This window comes from Homo sapiens, chromosome 4 (genome assembly GCF_000001405.40).
Source record: "Homo sapiens chromosome 4, GRCh38.p14 Primary Assembly".
In the NCBI taxonomy this organism is placed as follows: Eukaryota; Metazoa; Chordata; class Mammalia; order Primates; family Hominidae; genus Homo; species Homo sapiens.
Window position 1 is genome coordinate 122,627,960 of NC_000004.12, and position 23,506 is coordinate 122,651,465.

The 23,506-nt window shown below is 39.7% G+C and overlaps 1 long non-coding RNA gene across 1 annotated transcript in view; it reads left to right on the forward strand.

The window, feature by feature from the left end:
* IL21-AS1 (IL21 antisense RNA 1) overlaps positions 1-23,506 on the forward strand; it is a 70,174-nt gene that overhangs the window by 8,977 nt on the left and 37,691 nt on the right. The window contains exons 7-10 of the long non-coding RNA NR_104126.1: positions 926-1,037; positions 20,142-20,269; positions 20,769-20,883; positions 21,665-21,752. This is a non-coding gene — a long non-coding RNA (IL21 antisense RNA 1). The remainder of the gene's footprint in view (positions 1-925; positions 1,038-20,141; positions 20,270-20,768; positions 20,884-21,664; positions 21,753-23,506) is intronic.

Consider the following 23,506-nt stretch of genomic DNA (forward strand, 5'->3'; position numbering starts at 1 on the left):
TCATGTTATTGTGTCTGAGAATCTTATGTTTTATGTCATGGACCTTCGTTTAATAGAAAGGGTGTCTCACCTAACAAAACCAAAAATGGCAGTAATTAATTTAGTGTTCTTTTTGGTTGAAGAATTCTAATGCCAAGGAGTCATGTTTAATTCAGGAGCGCTTTTAAATGAATTTGCATTTCATTTGTCACAAGATTAGCTACATACTTCTTTGAAATATAATAATACATTTATGGTTGGAAGTGATTTAGTCAGTTTATAGGCAACATCCTTCCTGTGCAGCAATGAATTCATGAGCCCTGTGAACATCATTATTTTAGAAAAAGAATTGGATATAATATATACTTCTTATATATAGAGAGATCCAATCATATACCACATTCAGGAGTGGGGAGGACAAGGGACCACAGAATCCTGAAACGGCATCTGAGCCATCAAAAGAATGTGCTCACTACAGTTTCAGTGCTGAATGTTTTATTTTACTTCAATTCTTTAAATATGGTTTCTCCATATACAGGGTGTACGGTAGTTCTAAAAACGCGAATGACTAATTAACAAAGTGCAGACCAGGAAAACACAGACTCTGTGAGATTTACCAAATTGGCTCCAAGACTACCCTGAAGTCACCCTTTAAACTGAGAAATAGTTATATCTGATAGACTCTGTTGCTGCAAATAAAGGGAAATGGGATGGCTCTTTCTGAAAAAAGACTTTGGGCCAATCAAAAAGATACTATCAATGATTATTCTAGCAAACACTTTTGTATCTAAGTGGTTTATAGACATAATCTCATTTAAAGCAACAACCATGAGAAATAGGTATTTTGAGTGTGCCTCTTTACTACCGAAGCACAAAGAAGATAAGTAAGACATTGAAGTGATTGGAGGAACTCTCTCCAGAGCCTGACGACTTCTCTCTACAGCAGGGAACTGCCTCCATTGCTGATGTTGGATTAAACAGAACAGCCTGTGCAGTTAGTTCATGGATTCCATAAAGGGACTGGACCTTAATGAAGACGTTCCTGACATGGGTTTGGGGTAAGAAGGAGAGTCTGTTTGCAAAATTATTATTGATAATAACTAGAATTTAAATGTATATCTTTTCTTGGTTAATTAAATAAATTAATCAGCTCCCCATCTGGGCCAGAATATCCAATTGCTTCTCTTTCATTGACTTTAACTAGTGACAACCTGGTCCAGTATAAGACCTAATAATAATTTTCCAGTGTTTTATATCCATAAAAGAAGAGAGAAAGAAATGAATAAACTTCTGCCGTCATTTGGGTCTTGAATAGCATAGACAAAAATCAATCAGGAAATCAGTTATCTTGACAACAAGAAAGGGCAAAAGTATGACTTAGTTATTTACATTTACTTATTGTTCATTTTCTATGTTTTTCAAGCCTTTTCATTGTTATGAGAACATCGAAACACTCACCTTTTGCTCCATTTAGCTCTCAGAACTTTAAAATACACACCAAGGGGGATATCAGTGCAAAAGAAGAAGGAAAACCAGGAATACAAAAGAAACATGCTTGTAACAAGAATCAACTAAAAGTAAATTTTCATGAAATTAAGAGATAGGTGGTTCAATGATTTTGGATATTGGCAGTTAAGTCATCACAGGTCAGATTAACGTATTTAGTCAAAGCTGTTCTGTCATCAAGATCTGCATCAATCAGAAGCTTTAATGACATGACAGGGATGAGGGACTCTCTGGCCCTTGACTTGACTTATCCAGCTCTCAGAACCACTGCTCTGGTCATTGCTACTGTCTTCAGAGAATTATTTTTAATGGCGCTGGTGTTCAGGTCAGCATTTAGAAATGTTTACATTTAGGTTATTAGAAACCTAATAGAGGCTGGGGAAGGTCAACAGTAATCGTTAAGAATGATGACTGCTAGCAGCCACCACCCAAGGGAGCCACAGACATGGCAAAGCTCTGCTTGTCTGCCTCCCTCTCCCTTCGTCTCCCTCCTGCTTCCTCTCTGGGTCTCTCTATTCCTCCTTCCTCTTTTGTTGCTCATTCCTCCCAGATTTCTTCTCCTCTTTACTTCACTTTTTTCTTCCACTTTGTTTCATATTCAAATCTGCATACCATGAAACTAAAACGTATTTTAATTGTAATTGTTTTATTAAATAAACCTTTCTAGCCTCTAAATAGTTGTTTAAAATAAAACAAATTGAATACTATAATCTCTCTAAGGACTAGAAAGAGGCTCTTTTAAATGACTTTTGGTATTTGAGCTTTGGGGTTTTTTTTTTCCTTCCTTGAATCAATGATCCTGTGCAGAAAAACAAATAACACTGTTTGACTTCTTCTAATTTACGGAAATATAAGTGAAGGAAAACTGTTATAAAGAGACAATATCTGCTTAGTATGTAGGAGAAAGATGATTTGGGAATATCCTGCTTACTTTCTGAATCCCTAAAGAGTAATTTTATTTTAGAAAACATTCTCTTACATGTTGTCAATTGTTCTCTGTGTCAAAGCTCTCTGAGTTGCCACAACCATGGGCTTCTGTGGAAACTGCCTTCAGTTAGCTCCTATTGTACACTGCACATAACTCATACCAAGCCTGAGTTATTCACATATACACAAATCCAGCAGGCACCATCAGAGAAGAAACACTTTACACAATTTGTGTGGGATACTGAATAGAGTAATTCTGTTTTCATTTATCTGCTAAGCTATATGTGAAGAATCCAGGAAAAGAAAGTTATGTTTCCCATAAGCTCATAATGGATACACAAAAATAGTTAAATTGGGCCAGGTGTGGTGGCTCACGCCTGTAATCCCAGCACTTTGGGAGGCTGAGGTGGGTGGATCACCTGAGGTCGGGAATTCAAGACCAGCCTGACCAACATGGAGAAACCCCGTCTCTACTAAAAATACAAAAAGTTAGCCGGGTGCGGTGGCGCATGCCTGTAATCCCAGCTACTCAGGAGGCTGAGGCAGGAGAATTGCTTAAACCCGGAAGGTGGAGGTTGTGGTGAGCCAAGATTGTGCCTTTGTACTCCAGGCTGGGTGACAAGAGCAAAACTCTGTCTCAAAAAAAAAAAAAAAAAAAAGTTAAATTGAATCTGTTATTGGGTGGAGGCTTTCTGAGATGGAGCTCAAGGAGGGTTTCAAGAAGAAGACATTAGAATAAAAAGTCCTTGAGAGCAGAAAGCTTTATATGGAATAAAAGTTCAACACCCTTCATGTTGTGTCTTCTGCGAGCATTACACTAAATCTGGGAAGGGTCATCAGGTGATCTGACTGAGATGAAAATATGGTCTCAGTTATGTTAGACAGATTGGAAGGAGTTTGGAGACCAAAGTGGAGGAAAGCAAGAAAAGTATAATAGAAAGTGTCTGTGCAATGCACATATTAAGTACTAAATGATTCAGCCCAATAAGGTGAAATATGACAAAGTTTGGAGTAATTAACAAACACCTGTAGGCGTGTTGGGAGACTCATGATCTTACTATGACAACAAGGTGAGATGACTGCCCTGAAAGGACTCTTGGTGGGGTTTCCCTGCAGGTAAAGGGGAGGAAAGATGATAGGCAGAGCTTGGTGCTCCTCCAGCCCTGCTTCAACCAGAACAAATCCTTTTATCTGTTTTACACTTCGGGTCCTATGTAAGATTTCATTTGGAAAAATATGTTTACCTGGTAGGAAAAAAGAAATTAAAGGTGACTAATCTAGCCCCCTATTTACAGAGGCCCAGAACAGTGGCATGACCTGCCCAGGAAAACTCAACAAGGATGTACTCCAGGTGTTCTTCCTCAGATGAAGAATCCATATCATGGCCCACAGGAGGCTTGACAAGCCCACTTTTACCCTGTTGCCCATGGGTCGCTAATAGATAATCTCAGTTGGCATCTGTTGGACACATCCTATTGTGCCAGGCACTATTCTTAATTTCGTACTTAGATATTTTTTAGCTATTACTATATGTCATCTATTCGTGGACATTATATTCATAAATTAATATTTCTGAAACCAGCTGCCTCTCACAATCAATGGCAATGTAGATTCAATGAAGTACCATAAACCTAAGCCTCACATTTGTGAGGTAGCTACTATTGTCATCCACTTTAGAGATGAGAAACTGGAGACACAGAGGGATGAGGAAACCTGCCCAAGGTCACACTTAATAAATGGTGATGGGATAGCTACTGCTAAGACACGAATATTGCTACTGGCACGGTGATACAGCGGCCTAGGATGATTTCTGTTAGTGTTAGGAATGGACGTGATTAATACGGGAACTGTGGTGAGGGTGGCAGAAAATCCCTGGCATTGTATAAAATGAAGAGCACCTTGTTGGCAATGGGAAGCCTAAGACTCACATATCTGTATGTTTTCTATAAACTCTGCTCACTCTAACTCCTTTATTCACAGGAAAAACTATCAGTCTTTAATGAAAAAGTAAGAAACTTTGACTTTAAATGATATATGTAAGTCCATTAAAACTTTCTTGCAAATAGCAGGGATTAACTCATTAAATGTTAGTTCCCTGCCTTTTTTCAGAAATTGAGGAAAAGCTTTCTTGTGGATCACACTTTTTTAAAAAGTGTGATAGTAGTGGCTGCTATCGCTGATGATAGAAAGTAAGCTTTGGGGAATGTGGTGGTTAGAACTTTGACAATCCCAGCCGATTTCTAAATAGATTTATAACGTGAAATAATTTTCCTAGCTACACAAAAGATAAGAAAAGCATTTTTGGCAAGAGAAGAGTAGCTATAATTGTTTAAGCTCACTGGAATATCATGGTGGAGGGGAGCGGTGAAGGTAATTTAAATTAATTGCTAAGGTCAGGTGCAGAATGTCTTAATTGCAAGAAAGGTGAATAAGAACAAGACCAACAGGGGAGCTTAGTGTACTTCCGCTTTGTGTGTGTATGAGGTGGGGAAAATACATGGTTTCCCTGTCACTTAATGAGAGCAAATAGGCAAATGACGTGTATTTAGCATACTTCACCTAAGAGGTCTGCGGCTTAGGAACATGCTGAGTCAATTTGTTACTTGAGAATTTACATAACTTTGGTAATGGACTTCCCCAAAAATGGAATTCTAAGCAACCTCATATCCCTAGCTGGGGAGGGCTGAGATTTCCTTTTTCCTCTATCTTGGACAGTCCAAATTATGAGGTGGATACAAACCAGACCTCATTCTCTCCACCCACATTTTCCTTTACCTAACAACAAAAAAGGTTTTTCCTACAAGCTTAGTCACTGGCAGATTAAATAGCATTCTGAAAATTAGGAGGTAAGGTGACAGAATTGCTTTCAAGGAATTTTTTAAACTCTAAGTTGAGGATTCTTAAATTCATTATTCAGCATTTACCATAAAAATGTGCCAATCTGAAAGATAAAATGACTTGCCATTAAAACAATAAATAGGAAGCATTACATCATCAGAAAACATTTATTGAGCATATGTGTGTTTGGTATTTCTCTAGATGCTATCAGGTCACTACTCTGTGAAGACACGAGCCAAACCATAATTACACACATGCTTGAGAAAACGAAAGCATGCTGGCCTTTATGTGTGAAGATGACAGAAATCATGATGAGACCAATATGCATTTGAGATGATTTTTCAGTTACATGGAGTTTTCCTTCCATAATTTCTGTAGGCCATTTACTGCTGGTGACCCATGTGAATGTCATGATTTTTATACGATGAGCAAGAGGTAAAAGGGTAGCCTTTGCTCATAAAATGATTTTTGTCTTTGAGATCTCCATAGTAATTAAAACCATGAGCAAATACTTAGCGTCATACTATGACTGAAGCTTCAGTAAAAATAACCTAGACTTATATGAATTTGGAGAAAGGCTTATAAAACACATATTAGTGTAAAACACTAGGAAGATAACGGAAGTCATGACATTAGTTACTTTTTTGTTATTTTATTTTATTTTAATTACACTTTAAGTTCTGGGGTAAATGTGCAGAACGTGCAGGTTTGTTACAAAGGTATACACCTGCCATGGTGGTTTGCTGCACCCATCAAACCATCAACTACATTAGGTATTTCTCCTAATGCTATCCCTCCCCCACCCCCCACCCCATAACAGGCCCTGGTGTGTGATGTTCCCCTCCCTGTGTCCATGTGTTCTCATTGTTCAGTTCCCACTTATGAATGAGTACCTGTGGTGTTTGGTTTTCTATTCTTGTGTTAGTTTGCTGAGAATGATGGTTTCCAGCTTCATCCATGTCCCTGCAAAGGACACAAACTCATCCTTTTTTATGGCTGCGTAGTATTCCATGGTGTATATGTGCCACATTTTCTTTATCCAGTCTACCATTGATGGGCATTTGGGTTGGTTCCAAGTCTTTGCTATTGTGAACAGTGCCACAATAAACATACATATGTATGTGTCTTTAGAGTAGAATGATTTATAGTCCCTTGGGTATATACTCAGTAATGAGATTTCTGGGTCAAATGGTATTTCTGGTTCTAGATCCTTGAGGAAATGCCACACTGTCTTCCCCAATGGTTGAACTAATTTACACTCCCACCAACAGTGTAAAAGCTTTCCTATTTCTCCACATCCTCTCCAGCATCTATTGTTTCATGACCTTCTAATGATCGCCATTCTAATTGGCATGAGATGGTATCTTGACATTAGTTACTTTTGAATTCATCTATTGGAGAAAATTAATTGGAGACATTATTATGGAACAAGAGCTCAGCTATATAACATGCTGTTGGCACTCCTTTGTTAGGCTTTGCAGTAGAATTCATCTTGACAATATTGGGTTACATTATTTGGTCATTTTTTTCACTTTATTTTAGGGAGGAGAACCTCAGATAACTGCCTTCTGTCACAGTGTAATGCAAGGATCTCATCTGAGTCTTGACCACTGCTGTCTTTCCATGGCCTGGCACAATGCCTGGCATGGAAAGGTCCTTACTAAATATTTGATGCATAAAAAATTGATTGGATTAATTAGTTGATTATTGGCATGTACAAGAAATATAATTAGATATAGCAGGAAACCAGTCACCAGCTGAATCCTGATTCTTGCAGATAGAATAAGATTTAGTGAGCATCAGAATGGGAGACCACCCACAGCCTATTCACCCAGGCGTCATGAAAATAGGTGACCTTGGTTCTAGAAAATTATGACGATGACTTCCCTATAGTTACATCCACCCAAAAAAGCCTGCAAGTGTGCTTTAGATAAGATGAACCGTTTTCATTCGTGAAGCAGATGCACTTGTTAATTAACAAAGAAGCGGTCAGTTAAGCAGGGCTAGGCAAACGCCTTGAGCAGTTAAAAAAATTTCCTGCAGAAAAGCATTTCTTTTGATGATAACTTTAAAAAATAATTTGTGTAGTTTCTTTTTCAGTAGCTGGGCTTGATCTGTACCGTGCAGTATTATTAGCATTTGTTAACAACAGAAGTGGTAAGGAAATTACTCACCACAATTGTTATACCGGGTTATTAGAGGCAGAGAGAGAAGAGTGGCCTTTGTGAGTACTCAGTTCAGATCACTGCAGTCAGCAGAGGTGTGGGCCACAGTGGGGAAGGATGTGAGAATGGAGGAAGCAATTGGCTTGCCTAGGTTTCTTGTGAAGCATTAAAATAGGTAATTGCAAGCCACCAAGTTTGGCAAGGGCAATCAGTTTTATTTGTTCTAGAAGAGAAAAAGCGTCACTGGGGAGTAAGTTCAGATGGGGAATAATGCAGCTCTAAAGTTTCTTGTAGTTTGAATTTCATGAAATAGAAAATAGAAGTAAGAAATATAATATGTATGTTAATATAGAAATCATAGAAATGAGGTGATGTCTTATGGAAACAGTACGTATTTTTTTTTTAAGTGTGCACAAATTAGATAAATGTGCACAGGAAATCAGTTATTTCTCGTGGATGAGTTGGTGCCATGGATTTGGGTTCTGGCTGTGAATTTGTGTGTCCCATGTGCTTTGGTCCCTATGTGTCTGTGTATAACGAGGGCATCTTTGCTCATTTAAAATTCACTCATTCAACAAGTATTTACTGAGCACCAACTAGTCACACTTCTCATAATTTTGTGTGTGTGTGAAAAATTGGGACACTCTTTAGCTGTGTTTTATTGGGCACAATTTGCAAGTGTTTTAGCAGGGACTTCCGAGCACATCTGGTGCTTTTGTGGAAATGCAAAAAACAAAACAACTCCTTTTCTGTGCAAAAAAATTATCTTCAAAAGTACCTCTTCCTCTGCGAGGAGGAAGATGTATGCTAGGACACAGGGCTTGGTGAGGGGGGTGCACTGTAGATTTCAGACCCTACCCAACCCTCACCTGGGCACCATTTTGCAGTACACAAAAGGCATACCTGTATGTACAAACTGGTCTTAGATGAAGCCTCACAAAAATCAGTGTGAATTTTGTTCAGCTTTTGGTGGTTTGGACCTAGAGGGGAGAATTCCTTTAAACCTTGTTAGTCAAAGAATCTCTACACCAAACACTTCTGGCTCTCAGTTGTCCATCTGCCAAATGAGGGAATTATACTAAATTCCTTTTTCTCTTTTTCTGAAAAAATAAGTATTTGGTTACAATAGTAGAAAGGTCGAGAGCATGACTCCAAAGAGTCAGACTGCCTGAATTTGATCCTGGCTCTATGACTTAAGCACAATTTGACCTTGAAGAAGCTGTCTGAGCCTCAGTTTCATTATTTGTAAAATGGAGCTAATGATATTACCTAATACCCAGTTCATAGAGTTATTATGAGAAATGAGAGAATGCATGTAAAGCATGTAGTATGACTGGAAGTGAGTGCTTAATAATCGTTAGCTATCATCACCATCATTATTATGTAGTCAGTGTGATTCTGTATCTCCAGAAAACCAGGGGCGGCCAAGCCCCATCTTCTACCTAAGAGTTCTAGCATCACTCATGTCACCACCCCACAGTCTGTCTGCATTTGCCACTCACCCAATTACAACACCCTCCAATCATTTGTCTATAGTAAATAAGAGCATTCATTTTGTAAGCCTTGACAAGGCTACTTCCTCTTTCTCCTAACACTACTGTAATACCCTGCAGATGTTTGCTGCCTTTCTAGGAGAAAGTCCAGTGGCAGACAGTTTTGCCTGAAACAAATGATTGTTATTTATACTAAGACTACAGCATGCTCCCCGAAATGGCCTCTAGAGATTCTTAAAAAATATTCCCTCAAGCAAAGAAAATCCTAATGCACCTAAGAAGACAGTGTATCAGCTAGCTACAGTTGCGTAACCAACAACACCAAAACTTTAGTGGTTAAAAACAACCAACATTTATTATTTCTTATGAGCCTGTGGATTGGCTTCATAGCTCAGCTCATCTGGGGTAGGCTTAACTGATCTTGGCTGGGCTTGCTCATTTATCTGGGATTAAAGGCAGATTGGCCTTGGCTGAGACAACTCAGTTCTTCTCAACATGGCTCTCACATCCCTCCAGCAGGCTAGCCTGGTCATACTCTGATGGGGGTCCAAGAAAGAAAGTGGAAACAAGCAAATCCCTTTCCAAGCCTTTGCTGGTGTCTCATTAGCCAAAGCAAACCACATGGCCAAACCCAGAGTCAGCACGGAGGGCTAGCACCAAAGGGTAAGGATAGAGGGAGGCATGAATATTGGGGCCATTATTGCAGTCCAGCACACATGATGATGATTATGTCATTTTTAAAAAATAATTTCAACTTTTAGTTTAAATTCAGGGGATACATGTGCAGGTTTTTTACGTATGCATATTGCATGACACTGTGTTTTGGGGTAAGAATGATCACTACCTAGGTAGTGAGCATAATACCCAATAGGTAGGTTTTCAGCCTTTGCTCTCTTCCCTCTCTAGCAGTCTCCAGTGTTTCCCATGTTTATGTCCATATGTACCCAATGTTTAGCTCCCACTTGTAATCATAAGAGAAATGCAAATAAAAACCACAGTGAGATACTATCTCACACCAGTCAAATGGCTAATAATAAAAAGTCCAAAAATAATAGATGTTGGCGAGGCTATGGATAGAAGGGAATGTAAATTAGTTCAGCCACTGTGGGAAACAGTTTGGATATTTCTCAGATAACTAAAAACAGAACTACCATTTGACCCAGCAATCTCATGCTTGTTATATACCCAAAGGAATATGGATTGTTCTACCATAAGACACATGTACATGTATGTTCATTGCAGCACTATTCAAAATAGCAAAGACATGGAATCAACCTAGGTGCCCATATTCAGTGGATTGGATAAAGAAAATGTGGTACATATACACCATGTAATACTACACAGTAAATATTAAAGATTTCTAGCTTATAATTTCATCTAGTAGTTTCATTGTTTCAAAATTTAGACACTATTATGGTTTGTAAATATAGATATATACTCGAATGTCTTGTTTTAGTCATAGAAGATGTAACTGAAAAGCAGTACAAAACCCAGGAACAGGTGTTAGTTTCTAATTAAATGATAAAATAATGTCTGAAGAGTTCTGTTTTATTTTTGACTTTTCTGCACACCTCAGTTGAGGTGATCTCACGAAGATGTTAATTGCCAACTGCCAGAGCAGCTAAACAACCTCTCTGTGCCCCATACAGTGCTTTATGGAAGTTTCAGTCTGGGAGAGCCACAGGTTGCCCCAAAAGAGCCTATGGGCTCTGTGAATGCTTTAGACGCAGAACAGAAAGCAGGCAAACAAGCAGGCATTTAAGGAATGTTAAAGATAAAGTGAAATATTGATCAAATTCTCTTCATGATCTTTTAATTTGTACTTTTGGAAATCCACGAGCAAAGTTCTTCTAAGGCTGATAAAAATGTGAATTTCTCTCTACTGGTATAAGAATGAATCAAGCAATGAATTATGCAGTTAAATCACCTGGTAGAGAATGCCACTTAAGACAGTGTGGAAGATGAGCTCCCGTTTACACACAATTGGCTGCAACATCCAACTAAGAAGGGGCAGGGGCAGAGGGCACCAATCAAAGAGCTGGCTCCAGCTGGTTTGCAAACCCACGGTTATTATGACCCACAAGTCTTCCAAGGTGGTTGTCTATTGGAATTCTCATTGGACTTTAGCTGTAGGAGCTGCAAAAATATTCTCAAGATTAGTAAATATACCCTCTAATTACATCTCCACCCTCTGCCACAGCAACACAATTGCTCACACCCTTAAATAAACCTCCACTTGTTTATTTGAAGACACCATGTGGTCTGTTCTCTAAATATTTCACCAAATGGGCTCAACATTCTTTTATAGGACCTAGTTTCCAATAATGCTATCATTTTTTCCCTAGTTTTTCTCTAGACATCACACTTTGCTACATCTGCTCTTAAATGTGGTGACAGTGCTGTCCCAGGTGTGGTAAGTTGGGATAGTTCCCAGGCCCCACATTTTGTGTGCCCCCTCCCCCCGCCGCCACTTCCTCCTCTCCCCACAATATAATGACAGGTGACTAGGAAATGACTCAAGAGGTGGAGTGTGGAGGAACAAGAGGAGGCTTTCAGCACAAGTGTGGAAAAAAAACTTGAGGGTTTCATATATGTGTATTCAGTTAATAAACTCCTCCTTCCTCACCAAAGACAAAGATAGTAGAAGAGTCCTTTCCTCGTTCCACAGACTTTCAGAATGGACATGTCTAATTAAGATTCCTGTCTCCTTCTAAGTTTATCCTTAATAATCACTGAAACAAGAGATTGCTTATAAACTGAAAGCACCAAATGATGTGATTTGCCCACACCTGTCTCACTGCACCAACTACAATGACCCCAGGTGATAGCCAATATCTGTTATGACTCTCTTAATTGCAAAACAAGCAAATACACAAAAAACTTCAGCTTTTCTAAGTCACTTTTCTAACAATGCAGCCTGACACATGTTTCTCTTTTGATCAGTGCTCCAGTGCCCACTATATTCAGGTTTGGTCTACTCCAACTCTCAGGTCTTTTTTTCCTTGTTTCTTTTTTCCTTATTTCTTTCCTTCACTACTGAAATCCGAGTACTTTCTCACAAAAGTAGCTGAAGTGGGTTGGTTGTGTGCATGTTGAGGAAGGATATCCCTACAGGTCCAGCTTTACATGCTTGCCTAGAATGTTGCTTCATTCTATTCTAATTTGGAGTTTCTACAAGTGTTTTTCAAATAAATGGTAAGGAGTTATGAATAAAAGTTCTCTACCATTGAATGTGTAGGGGAAAAGAATGAAAGTAGGCTCCTGTATTGCAGGGCTTTTCTTAGTGTCTAATACGCTATTTCAGCTATGACTATCCAAGAGTGCGAATGTGACCATGGAGGCTCCTCTTCATGGAGCATCACTGGGACAAGTCCTCCAGGATCCATTCTGGGAACTCTGGTCCTACTTGCCACGGGCATATCCCCAGCAGAGATGAGGAGTAGCCCTCCCAAGGGACGCTGCTAAAACAGAACAAGCTCCCTCTGGCCAGGCTTTTGTCCAGTCACTGGGCCTCAATAGCTGATTTTCAGTTGCCACCCCTCAGGCAAATGGGGAGATTCTATAAGATGCCTTTAAATTGGTCTTTGTTAGTGATCTAGCATGCAAGATCTCCCATTTATTTTCTCCCATTTATTTTCAGAGTCTAGAGTTTTACATCATTCACTCATTCAAACAATAGTCATTGAATACTTGTGCCAGGCAAATGGGCAAATGGACCAAGAATCCCAGCCCTTATGGAGCTTATAGTCTTGTGGGTAGAGACAGATAATGAACAGATAATAACATTAAAAAGGAAATATATCAGACAGATGATTTCCTAGGAGGAAAAAAAGCAGAGGAGGATGGGGAATATGGGTGCCGAGAAAGCAATTAGATGTTCAAGTCTGGAGTTTGGGAGAGAGTTCTGGGTAGAGACATAAATCTGGGAGCAATCAGCATGCTCAAAGTGCATGTTCAAAGCAGAGAACCTGGTTGAGATCACCAAGGAAGCTAGTGTGGATTGTGAAAAGAGGAGGTATGAAAACTAAGCCTCAAAGTTTAAACACTTCAAAGTTTAAAGTTTGGGGTGATGAGGAGCAATCAGCAAAGGTAACTGGAAAGAAACATACACTGACAGGGGAGGAAAACCAAGAGTGGAAGCCAGGTGAAGAAAGAGTGATTGATCCAATGAAATACCGAGAGATGAAGTAAGATGTAGTCTGCTAGTTGGCTGGGATATAGCAATGTGCAAGTCATTAGTGAACTTGAAAATGGCTATTTCAATGAATTAGGACAAAAATTAAGTTAAAATTGGGTTTAAGAGAGAATGGAAGGAAAGAAGAGACAGCAGGAAGAAGTAATTATTTCAAAGACTTTTGCCGTAAACAGGAGCAGAGAAATTAAATAATAGAAAATGTCAAGGAGTCAAAACTATTTTTCAGATGGGAAAAGCAATAGCCTGTTTTTATGCTAATGGAAATGACCATTAGAAATGGGAAAACTGAACATAACAGAGGAATGGGCGGAGAATTTCTGCAGTGATGACTATGAGTGATGAAGTGAAGATGGGACCTAGTTGTGCAGCTGGAAGGCTTGCCCTTAGGAGCACAAAGTGTTCCTCCAGTGTAACGGGAGGAAAGGCTGAATATATGGACACAGATACAGCTAGGTGAGAGGATATCACGGTGGGGGCATGAACAAGTTCTCTTCTGGTTGCTTCTCTTTTCTCAGAGAAAATGGAAGCTAGGTCATTAGCTGAAAGTGGGGCAGGGAAGGAAGTACTGGAGAAGAGGGTAAGATACAAAATAATATGGGAGTTGGAGAAAGTAAATGGACAAGAGAATTTAGTGAGATTAACAGGCAGCCCTAGGGCCCATTTGAGGCTGATGGTCATGTATGGATGGGTATTTTTCTCCAGCCAAGTGCATTTGTATGCATAGGAACACAGAGTAGGTGTAGATATGGATTTAAACAGGGCTGTACTTTTGTCAAGCAAAGACAATGATGTGAGAAAGGAAATGATAATGATAGATAAGGAGAGAAGTGATGATATGAGGATGGAGTAAGGGACAATCCGTAGCTAGTAGGATCAATAAGTTGTAAGTGGTGAAGAGGAGGATTTTTGGAGGTGGGGCACTAGAGAGAGTAAGCTGGAACAATAAGATGTAGTGGTCAGCGGGTTGGATGCTTGGAATTGAGGTTATAAAGGGATTTAAATAATTTATAATGACAAGATCTGGTGGAATATGACTGTGAAAGTGGGTGGCAGAGAATGGTGTAGACATGATCTTTGAAATGGATGAAGTCAAGGCACTGACAGGCCAGAATACCAGAAGGATTATGTGAACATTTAAATCACCAAGGATTGTCAGGAGTAACGGTGAAGGGAATGACAGTTAGGAGCTAAAATTTTAAGGACTGAGGGAAAAGGACTCTGATGGTGGGGGAGTGTAGAAGACTGAAACAAGGAGACGTGGCTGGGCATGTTGGGCTTATGGCACGCAACTCCAAGCAGGTGTTGTATTTTTAAGGTGAAGGGAGCAACAATAGACTGGAATTAGCAACGAAGGGCAAGCCATTTGCCAAGTTGTCTTCTTTCCTCTTTATTTCTAGTAACTTCTATAGTACATCCTTCCAATGAGGTATTTTAGGGGTATATTCCTTCTGGGTTTTCTTTTCTTCTAAACTTTTTTCTTTTCTTTTTTTGAGACAGAGTCTTACTCTGTTGCTCATGCTGGAGTGCAGTGGTGCGATCTTGGCTCACTGCAACCTCCATCTCCCAGGTTCAAGCAATCCTTGTGCCTCAACCTCCCGAATAGCTGGGATCACAGGCACATGCCAACACACTCGGCTCATTTTTGTACTTTTAGTAGAGACAGGGTTTGCTGTGTTGCCCAGGCTGGTCTCGAACTCCTGGCCACAAGTGACCCACCGTCCTCAGCCTCCCAAAGTGCTGGGATTACAGGCATGAGCCACCGTTCCTGGCATTTTTTTCCTATTGTGTTCAATTACAGGCACTTATTCTCAGCCTTAACTATACATTAACACCACCTGAAGAGGTTTTTTAAAATTATACTGTGCCCAAGCCCTACTCTAAGCTATACTGATTTAGTTGTTTGGGAATAGAATCCAGGTGTGTGTAATTTTTAAAGTTCTCCAGGTGATTCTAATGAGCTGACAAGTTGAAAACCAAAGTCCTAGGGAAAAGTTTGGAAAGGTTTGTCTTTGTGGGCCTATGCATTGTTATAGAGTGTGGTCCGTACTTTTCATCACATCCTTGAAAATATTCCTGACCCAAGAAGATGAAGACAAAGCCCCTTATTTTTTTTAATGAGAAAATGTAACTTTACTTGGTTTTTAAAAATCTTTCTTAATTGGGGATGGCAGTGGGTCTTGGGAATGGGAAGTTTGTTAAAATCTGGGACATACCAAATTCAGTAAAACATGGTGGTATCTTTTCCATAACATTCAGGTTCTGAAGCCTCCGTGCAGCAGAATCCATGGGCTAAACCACTGCTCTGTGCATCTCAGATCCTTTCTGTCCTCCCTTCCCACCCTCTAAAAATGCAAACTATGCTGGTGTAACTGACTCTGGGGTTCTCTGTCACTGCTGGTTTCTGCGTAGGAGTGTTGCACACACCAGGCTCAGTTAGCACCTGTGTTTTTATGATGTGAAAACTGCATATCCACCATATGAGCATTACCCCAAATTGTATAATTTTTTTCTCATAAAGTGGAAAAAAGAAGTTTCAGAATATGCATTCAACCTCTTCTAGCTTCCTATAGGGACAAGGTGGGTTAAGAATGGGGTTACTGAAGTTGAGGAGCCCTGAAGGCAGAGCCCCTTCTGAGGTGGTGATGTGGTGCCATTCAGCTTGCCTACTGTGTCCACTTTCTTGTTCCTTCACTTCCATGGCAAGGCTAGATCACCAGTGAATGCAGTTTCGTAAATTTACTTGCTTACTTAGTAAAATGCTGGTCCTAGTTCCTTCACCACAGAACTTGGTCCTAATTACAGTCTTTACATTTACTTAGCCACCCTTTTCTTATTCAGTCAGGTTTCTGAGATGCCCAAACCAAGCCCAGGACATTTCTAAGCAGTTAGCACAAAGACAATAGGGGACAGTTTATAACTTGTTAGGAAAGAAAGATTCTGGAGAAAACAGGGACCAGAAAATAAATCCTGAATTTAGTTCCCTTAGTAATACAATTGCCCATTTCTGGCCTAATGAGCATTAACACCTAATTGCCCCTGCATATATTGAGGGAAAATAAACATTAGCAGATAGAACATGTCTGCGAATGTACTCAGTGAAAGTGGCTTCTCCTTTCTCTCGCCTTTCTTTCCCCTTTTTAAAAAAATTTACTATTGGCTGTCATTCTCCCCTCTTTTCTCTTTCTACTCATCTACACACTGATCTCATATGCACACTTAACTCACACTTCACATGTCATCCACTGACATGCGTTCTCACTGTCAATTTTTCCCTGGGCAGTTCTAACAGGTCAATTTCTGTACAGATGCCTTGGTTTTAAGCTCTTACCTGATTCTCATCAGCAGTGGCCTGCGGGTCTGCAGGCTTCTTAGCATCCAAAGCAGCCCAACCAACCACAGAACTGGGTTGACCTGTGACCCTCTCCATCCCAGTAGTATTTGGATCAACTTTTGGAGGAGCCTACAGTGATATGCAGAAAGCCATGGAAGTCAGGAAAATTCTCTCTGGAGTGGAATTTTTCAAATGAGCAGCTTTGAGTGCCTCTAATCAGTGTTCTGGTTAGCCCATAAAACAGCTTAAAATACTGTTAGGACCACATTATCTTTAACAAAGGTACTGAGTCAATATTTAAAGTCAAGAGATATCACAACTTCTTTTATGTAACGCTGGGTCCTCATTCCAGCCAGAAAATCATTGGCCAGAGTTGATTAACTCCTGTGCGTCTTAGGTAGAGCACATCTCCCCAGTTTGCCACAGTCCTCACCACTTCTCATCCATCCCAACTCCCTATCTTTTCACTCATTTATAGTATCTGCCTGGCTCAAGGAGGCATTTGTGTTGGGCACTAACTCCAGAACTACTGCAAGTGGATCACCAGCCCAGCCTGACAAGAGCCCAAACCTAGAGAGATAGACTATCCAGCTGTTGGTTGTGAAAACCCAAAAGGAAGGGCAGCCCAGGGTTCTATGCTGTTGCAGGCTCTTTTAGTACAATATATAGAACATCTGCTTTGGGAACAAACACTCCTAGGTCTAAGTTCATCTGTTTGATAGTTTAACTTTGGATGGTTCACTTAGCTGCTGTAAAATTTTTATAAAATGGAGATATTAACTGAGATATTGTTGTGAGGGTAAGAGATAATAGCACAATAAGTGTTAGCTACTATCCTTATCTGCTTCCCCTCTCCTTTCTGGCCCATATACCTTCTCAAGTATTAATGAGGACATAGGCGCAGTACCAATAAGTGTATGTCAGCAGGGGACAAGACTGAGGCCAGCAATATTGGCCAATAAAGCCAAACAACCTCAACCATGTCCCAGAGATTTCTGGGTGCCCAAAAGAGCAAGATGGGCAATACCTTGGCATAGCAGATGGCTTTCTGAAGTGCCTACAAACAGGACTTGAAACTTGTGAAATGTCTTATGTCTCTGCTGTGCTGATAGACCAGGAAAAAGGGGCCAAGAATCTGAATTGGAGCAGTGATAACAGAGAAAGAAAGGAAGGGGTGGATATAGTTAGAAATCTGTACAAATTAAAATTGATTGATATGTAAAGAGTATATTGGTTTGTTACTCTATCAACTTAGTGAAACTGGAATTACATTTCCCAGGATTTCCTTGTCTGTATGGCTCTGGGTTAGGAGTGGCCACACATTTTGGTGTAATCTGGAAGGTGGAAATGAAACAGTAGCCATTATTTTATCACTGATCTGCTGGCTCACTTGGTCTGGGCTGGCTCACAGCTGGTCTAGCCCCTACCCACCTCCTCCTTCAGCTTCTCCATATGGACAGCTCTCAGACTAGTGATACAGCTTTTCCTGTTCATCACCAGGTGAGATGCAGTGAGAGACAAACATGAGTTCCAGTTTTTCCTTGTAGGTTCCAGTTTACCTTCATGATTCTAGTTTTTCCTCACTTTTTCCCAAGTACATCCAGCTTTCCATCCTGACTTCCAGCCCTGCTGGCCAAGAGTGACCCCAGGCCCACCACCAGATGGTTCACTGGGATTCACAGAGACAGTTGCCACAAAGACCCAAAAACCTTTCATAGACTTCAACACCAGCCTTCTTCATAGTTCCACTGCAGAAGCTGGTTAGTGGCTTTTCTTTGATCATTTTCAGGCCTTCATTTCCCTAGTTCCTCCCCATAGTTGTATAAAATCCTTGGTTCATTTTGTCCATAGTGGCTCTGCTTCCCTGATGGTACTCTGACCAATACAGGGAGTAAGGGAAGGAGATGTTGGAAGACTTCTAAGCTCTGACTTGGAAGATGAACCAAGAAGATGTATATGAAGAGTGCCCAAAAGATAGCTAGAGACATGTACCTAAAGCTCTTGGAAGGACTCCCCTTATGGCTCTCAAAAGAATGAAAGAGACAGTCGGATTAACCTAAAGAACTCAGAGATCTAGGGAAGCTCTCATTCCCAACCCGGGGCTCGCTACAATTAAGGCTTCATTGCTAGGTCACAGACTCATCTGCCCTGCTAACCTAGCTGTGTAGAAAGAGATTTATCCCTAAAAGAATTTGACTTTGGATATATCGGACCACCACTGTCCTTGTAGGAATAATGGCCAAAAATATTTATCCTAGATCTATATTAATATAAGTTTATTTATAATCCATTTGTATATTTGTTTGATATTTTTACTTTTATATATATATGTCTATCATATGCAGCCCCAACAATCCTAATAGATACAAAAGATTTACAGGATGTATTGCCGGGTGACTGTGTGCGCTTAAGGAGATTAAACTTTATTCTTTTGGGGGAAGGGGCTGCAGTGGAAGGTAGTTCCCACCCATAGTCCTTACACTCTTCTTTTGAAAGGGAGAATTTCTAAGAAGAAATGGTTAACCCAGTTTGAAATATACAGTTTATTTCCAAGATCCATTTTTAAGGCATATCATGATGGCCTCCTTTAGTTTTCTCCTACTGGTCATCAATTATACTGTCTACCATAGTTATATACTTCTGTAGTGGAGAGGAAAGGGGGCATCTGAGAGATGTGCTTAAAGAGCAACATTGCATTTGGTCTAATCCTTTATTTTAACACGAAGATTTGAGGCATACATAACTCACAATCATTGCATGTGTTTAAAGGTAATTTTTTCTAATTGGATGGGAATGGCCCTATAGTGTATGAACATTTTCTAAATATACAAGATAATATATTATAACTTTGTTCCTAGAGTACCAGAAAGTTGTTTGGTCAGCTGATTGTTATCTGAGAATCAACTCAGAAAAGAAAAATAGCCTAGAACAGTCTGAGCTATGTAAGGTATGCAAAATTTATCAGGCCCAGAGAGACATTAATTAGTGTGGAATTTCGGTCACCCCCTTACTCTACTTTTTCTTTTTTCCATTGCAATTATCACTGTCTAACATCCTATGTAATATATTACATACTACATTTATTATTTATTTTCTGTATCCTCCCACTAGAATGTAAGCGCTTGGGGGCAGGTATCTTTGATTTTTTGTATACTGATGGAACCAAAATACCTAGAACTGTGTTTGGCACATAATAAGGGCTCAATAAATAGGGGTGGAGTTGAATTGAACGTTTACACTAGGTAGTGAAGTTAATCAATTATAGTATAATGGCCTTTATTATGATACATTCAGAACCAGAAACAAAAGTGCAAAAAGATTTTTAAAAGACAGTCATAGAAGTTACCTCTCATACGTATGTCATGATATAAATCAGATTTTAAGTGCTTACTGCTTTTGTGTCCAGAGGTGATGGATGTTATTCACATCCATCTTGGATGTGATGACAGTCACTGTATTGCCTGAACGATAATAGAAGCAGCTTTCTATCTATCAAAACATCAAAAGAATCAAAGTATGTTTCAGAAGAGATGCTCAAATACTGTCACCTGAAATCAGTCATCCCTTGTGGATAATATTTAGGGACACTGAATTTTCAATAATTTAAATGCTGTTAGACTTTAGTAGCTGCTGAATGAATACAACGCAGTAGGGTCTGTGTAAGGTGCTTTACATGCTTCAATTCATTTAATATTCCCACAAACCAGCAAGAAGATATTATAATTTTGCAAATGAAGAAACTGAGATACAGAAATGACATCCAGCACCCTCAGTGTCACACAGAGAGTAAATGGACTGGCCTGAACCAGGCTGCCTCCTGGAACTGGTTTCTTTGGTGAGCATATAGATGAAAAATAAACTGCAGGGAATTTTTGTTTGCTTATTTGCAATTGTAACATAGACACTCCCATTTTCTCTTCTCCCTTCCTCCCCATCCAAAACAAAAAGCAACCATTCCCTTACTCAAAGAGCATTGACTGGCAATGCTTCAAAGCATGGATGGTTTCTGGGACTAAATATATTATATTATAATATAATATAAATACATTTGTCCCTCAGTGGTCCAAGGGAAATTGGTTTCAGGACCTCCTTGGATACTAAAATCCACAAGTGCTTGAGTCTCATATAAAATTGGATAGTGTTGCATATAACCTACACACATCCTCCTGTATACTTGAAATCATCTCTAGATTACTTATACCTAATACAATGTAAATGTTATGTAAATAGTTGTCATACTGTATTGTTTAGAGAATAATGGCAAGAAAAAAGGCTGTACATGTTCAGTAAAGATGTAACCATCCATTATTTTCCCCGAATATTTTCAAATTGAGGTTGGTTGAATCCATGGATGGAGAACTCGTGGATACAAGGGCTGACTATAATGAGAAGATATGAAAGCTGAAAAGACAAACATTACTACATATTTACATATGTCCAAAGAAGAAGGTAACAAAAGCCTACCTGACTTGAGTTTATGATATAGTTTTCTGAAAGATCTTGGAGATTGAGTTGGGCACTAATTTGGTATCAAGGCTATAGGATAAGATGGCAAAGAAGATTTGAAAGACATTTATCTAAGAATTTTGAAGGTAGTTCCCCCATGTCACTTTTAGGAAAGATTGTTGTAAAAGCTTAAATAGGCCAGGCGTGGTGGCTCACGCCTGTAATCCTAGCACTTTGGTAGGCCGAGGCAGGCAGATCATGAGGTCAGGAGATCGAGACCATCCTGGCTAACATGGTGAAACCCCTACTCTACTAAAAATTCAAAAAAATTAGCCAGGCGTGGTGGCGGGCGCCTGTAATCCCAGCTACTCAGGAGGCTGAGGCAGGAGAATGGCGTAAGCCCGGGAGGCAGAGGTTGCGGTGAGCCGAGATCGCGCCACTGCACTCCAGCCTGGGCGACAGAGCGAGACTCCGTCTCACAAAAAAAAAAAAAAAAAAAAAAAAAAAAAAAAAAAAAAAGCTTAAATAGTGTTCATCTACTTTTCAGTTCCCAGACAGTTGTTCCTTGAATGGAAGTTCATATGAAATTGGATCACAAACTGGCTTGTTGTTATGGATTATGTTTTGAAAAGAAAAAAAAATAGATAATCAGCTCCATCATCACCCAAGCTTGAGATCACAAAGTAATCTAATGCCTCTCCTATTATCTATGTATTACTGCATAGTAAATTACCCCAAAATTTAGTAACTAAAAATAATAATAAGCACTTATTATGTCTCACAGGTTCATCTCCACGTGGACCTCCCTATAGAGCTTCTTGAATGGCCTCACAACATGGCGGCTGGCTTCCCACAGAGTGAGCAATCCAAGAGTAGGTGGAAGCTGTGATGTCTTTTATGACCTAGCCTTCTTTAACATCATTCTTCTTTAACAGAGCTTGTTTTGTAATTATATTTAGTTATATGTATTTATTTTGCTTGTCTATATTTTAAAGCTTTTCCTTCAATGAACACATGTAATTGTAAAATTAAAACAATATTGAGAAAAAGAAATCACACACATGGACACTCAAAAACCAAGCAAGCAATGTGAAGGTCCTGTTATAAAGAATGACACAGTAGAGTAGAAAGGTTGATGAATGGGCTTTGGGTCATGACAGTCCTGGGTTCAAAGCCCAACTGTCCTACTTACTTACAGTGTGGCCTTAGGTAAGTTTCACACCCTTGCTAAGACTCAGTTTTGCCATCCATTAAAAATGAAGGGGGTAATGCATCAAAACCATCGGGCTTTGTGAGGAAACGCACATGAGCCAGAGGGTCTGGGATGGGATGTTGGGGATGGTGAGGGTAATGTACAGGGGATTACATGTAAATGGTTATATGTATTTCTACCCATTTATTTCCTACACTAGATTGAGAAGCTTTGAAGGTAGGGACTGATTCATACATCTGCAAATCTCCACAACTCCTAAACTGTGCCTTTGAGAGGTATGATAAGGAGAAAGGCAGTAGTGGGTCATGGTTAGTACAGAGACGGTTAAGCCAGATAAATGCTGAGTTTGAATCACAGCTCTGTCATTTGAAGGCTGTGAGATCTCAGGCAAGTGATTTAACCTCTCTGAGCCTATGTTTTCTCATTTCTAAAAAGCAAGTTAATATTAATTAACTTAGTAATTATAATATTTGTTACAATTATTATTTATCAGTAGTAATAACTGTTATAATAGTTAATAATGCCTGCCTTTCAGAGTGTGAGAATTGGATAATGTGTACAATGTTTTTAGCACTATGCCTTGCACATACTAAATGCTTAATAAGTGGTAGCCATTAATATGGTACATAGTTTGCATTTAATAGTTTTTTTAGGCTGGGTGCGGTAGCTCAAGCCTGTAATCCCAGCACTTTGTGAGGCCAAGGTGGATGGATCACTTGAGGCCAGGAATTCAAGACAAGCCTGGCCAACATGGCGAAACCCTGTCTCTTCTAAAAATACAAAAATTATCTGGGCATGGTGGGAGGAACCTGTAATCCCAGCTGTTCAGGAGGCTGAGGCAGGAAAATGGCTTGAACCCAGGAGGCTGAGGCTGCAATGAGCCAAGATGACACCACTGCACTCCAGCCTGGTGACACATTGAGACTCCATCTGAAAAAAAAAAAAAAAAAAGAGTTTTTTAAATAAGTTGACATTGAGGAAAAAAGAAGGCCCTGCCCCTGGAAATTCTCTTTCTCCAGTTTTCAGGGGCTTTCTATGGAGTTCTGGAGCAGCACTATCCACTAGAACTTGGCAATAAGGGAAATATTCAATATCTGGGCAGTTTCACAGGGTAGCCAATTACCACCTGTGGCTATTGAGTACTTGAAATGTGGTTGGTATGAGGAACTGTGTTTTTAATTTTATTACTTTTAATAAATTTAAATTTAAATAGTCACATGTAGTGAGTAGCTACATATTGTTCAAGACAGTCCTATAGTATTCACAGCATGGTGGGCATCCCAGTAGACCTTCTTTTCCTCTTCTTTATATCTATCTGTGATGCTATAAAACTGCTCTGTAACAATCTGAAGCTGAATGATTGCAGGTAAAGCCAGGGAGTATCATAATCCCCCTACTCAAGCAAGAAGCATT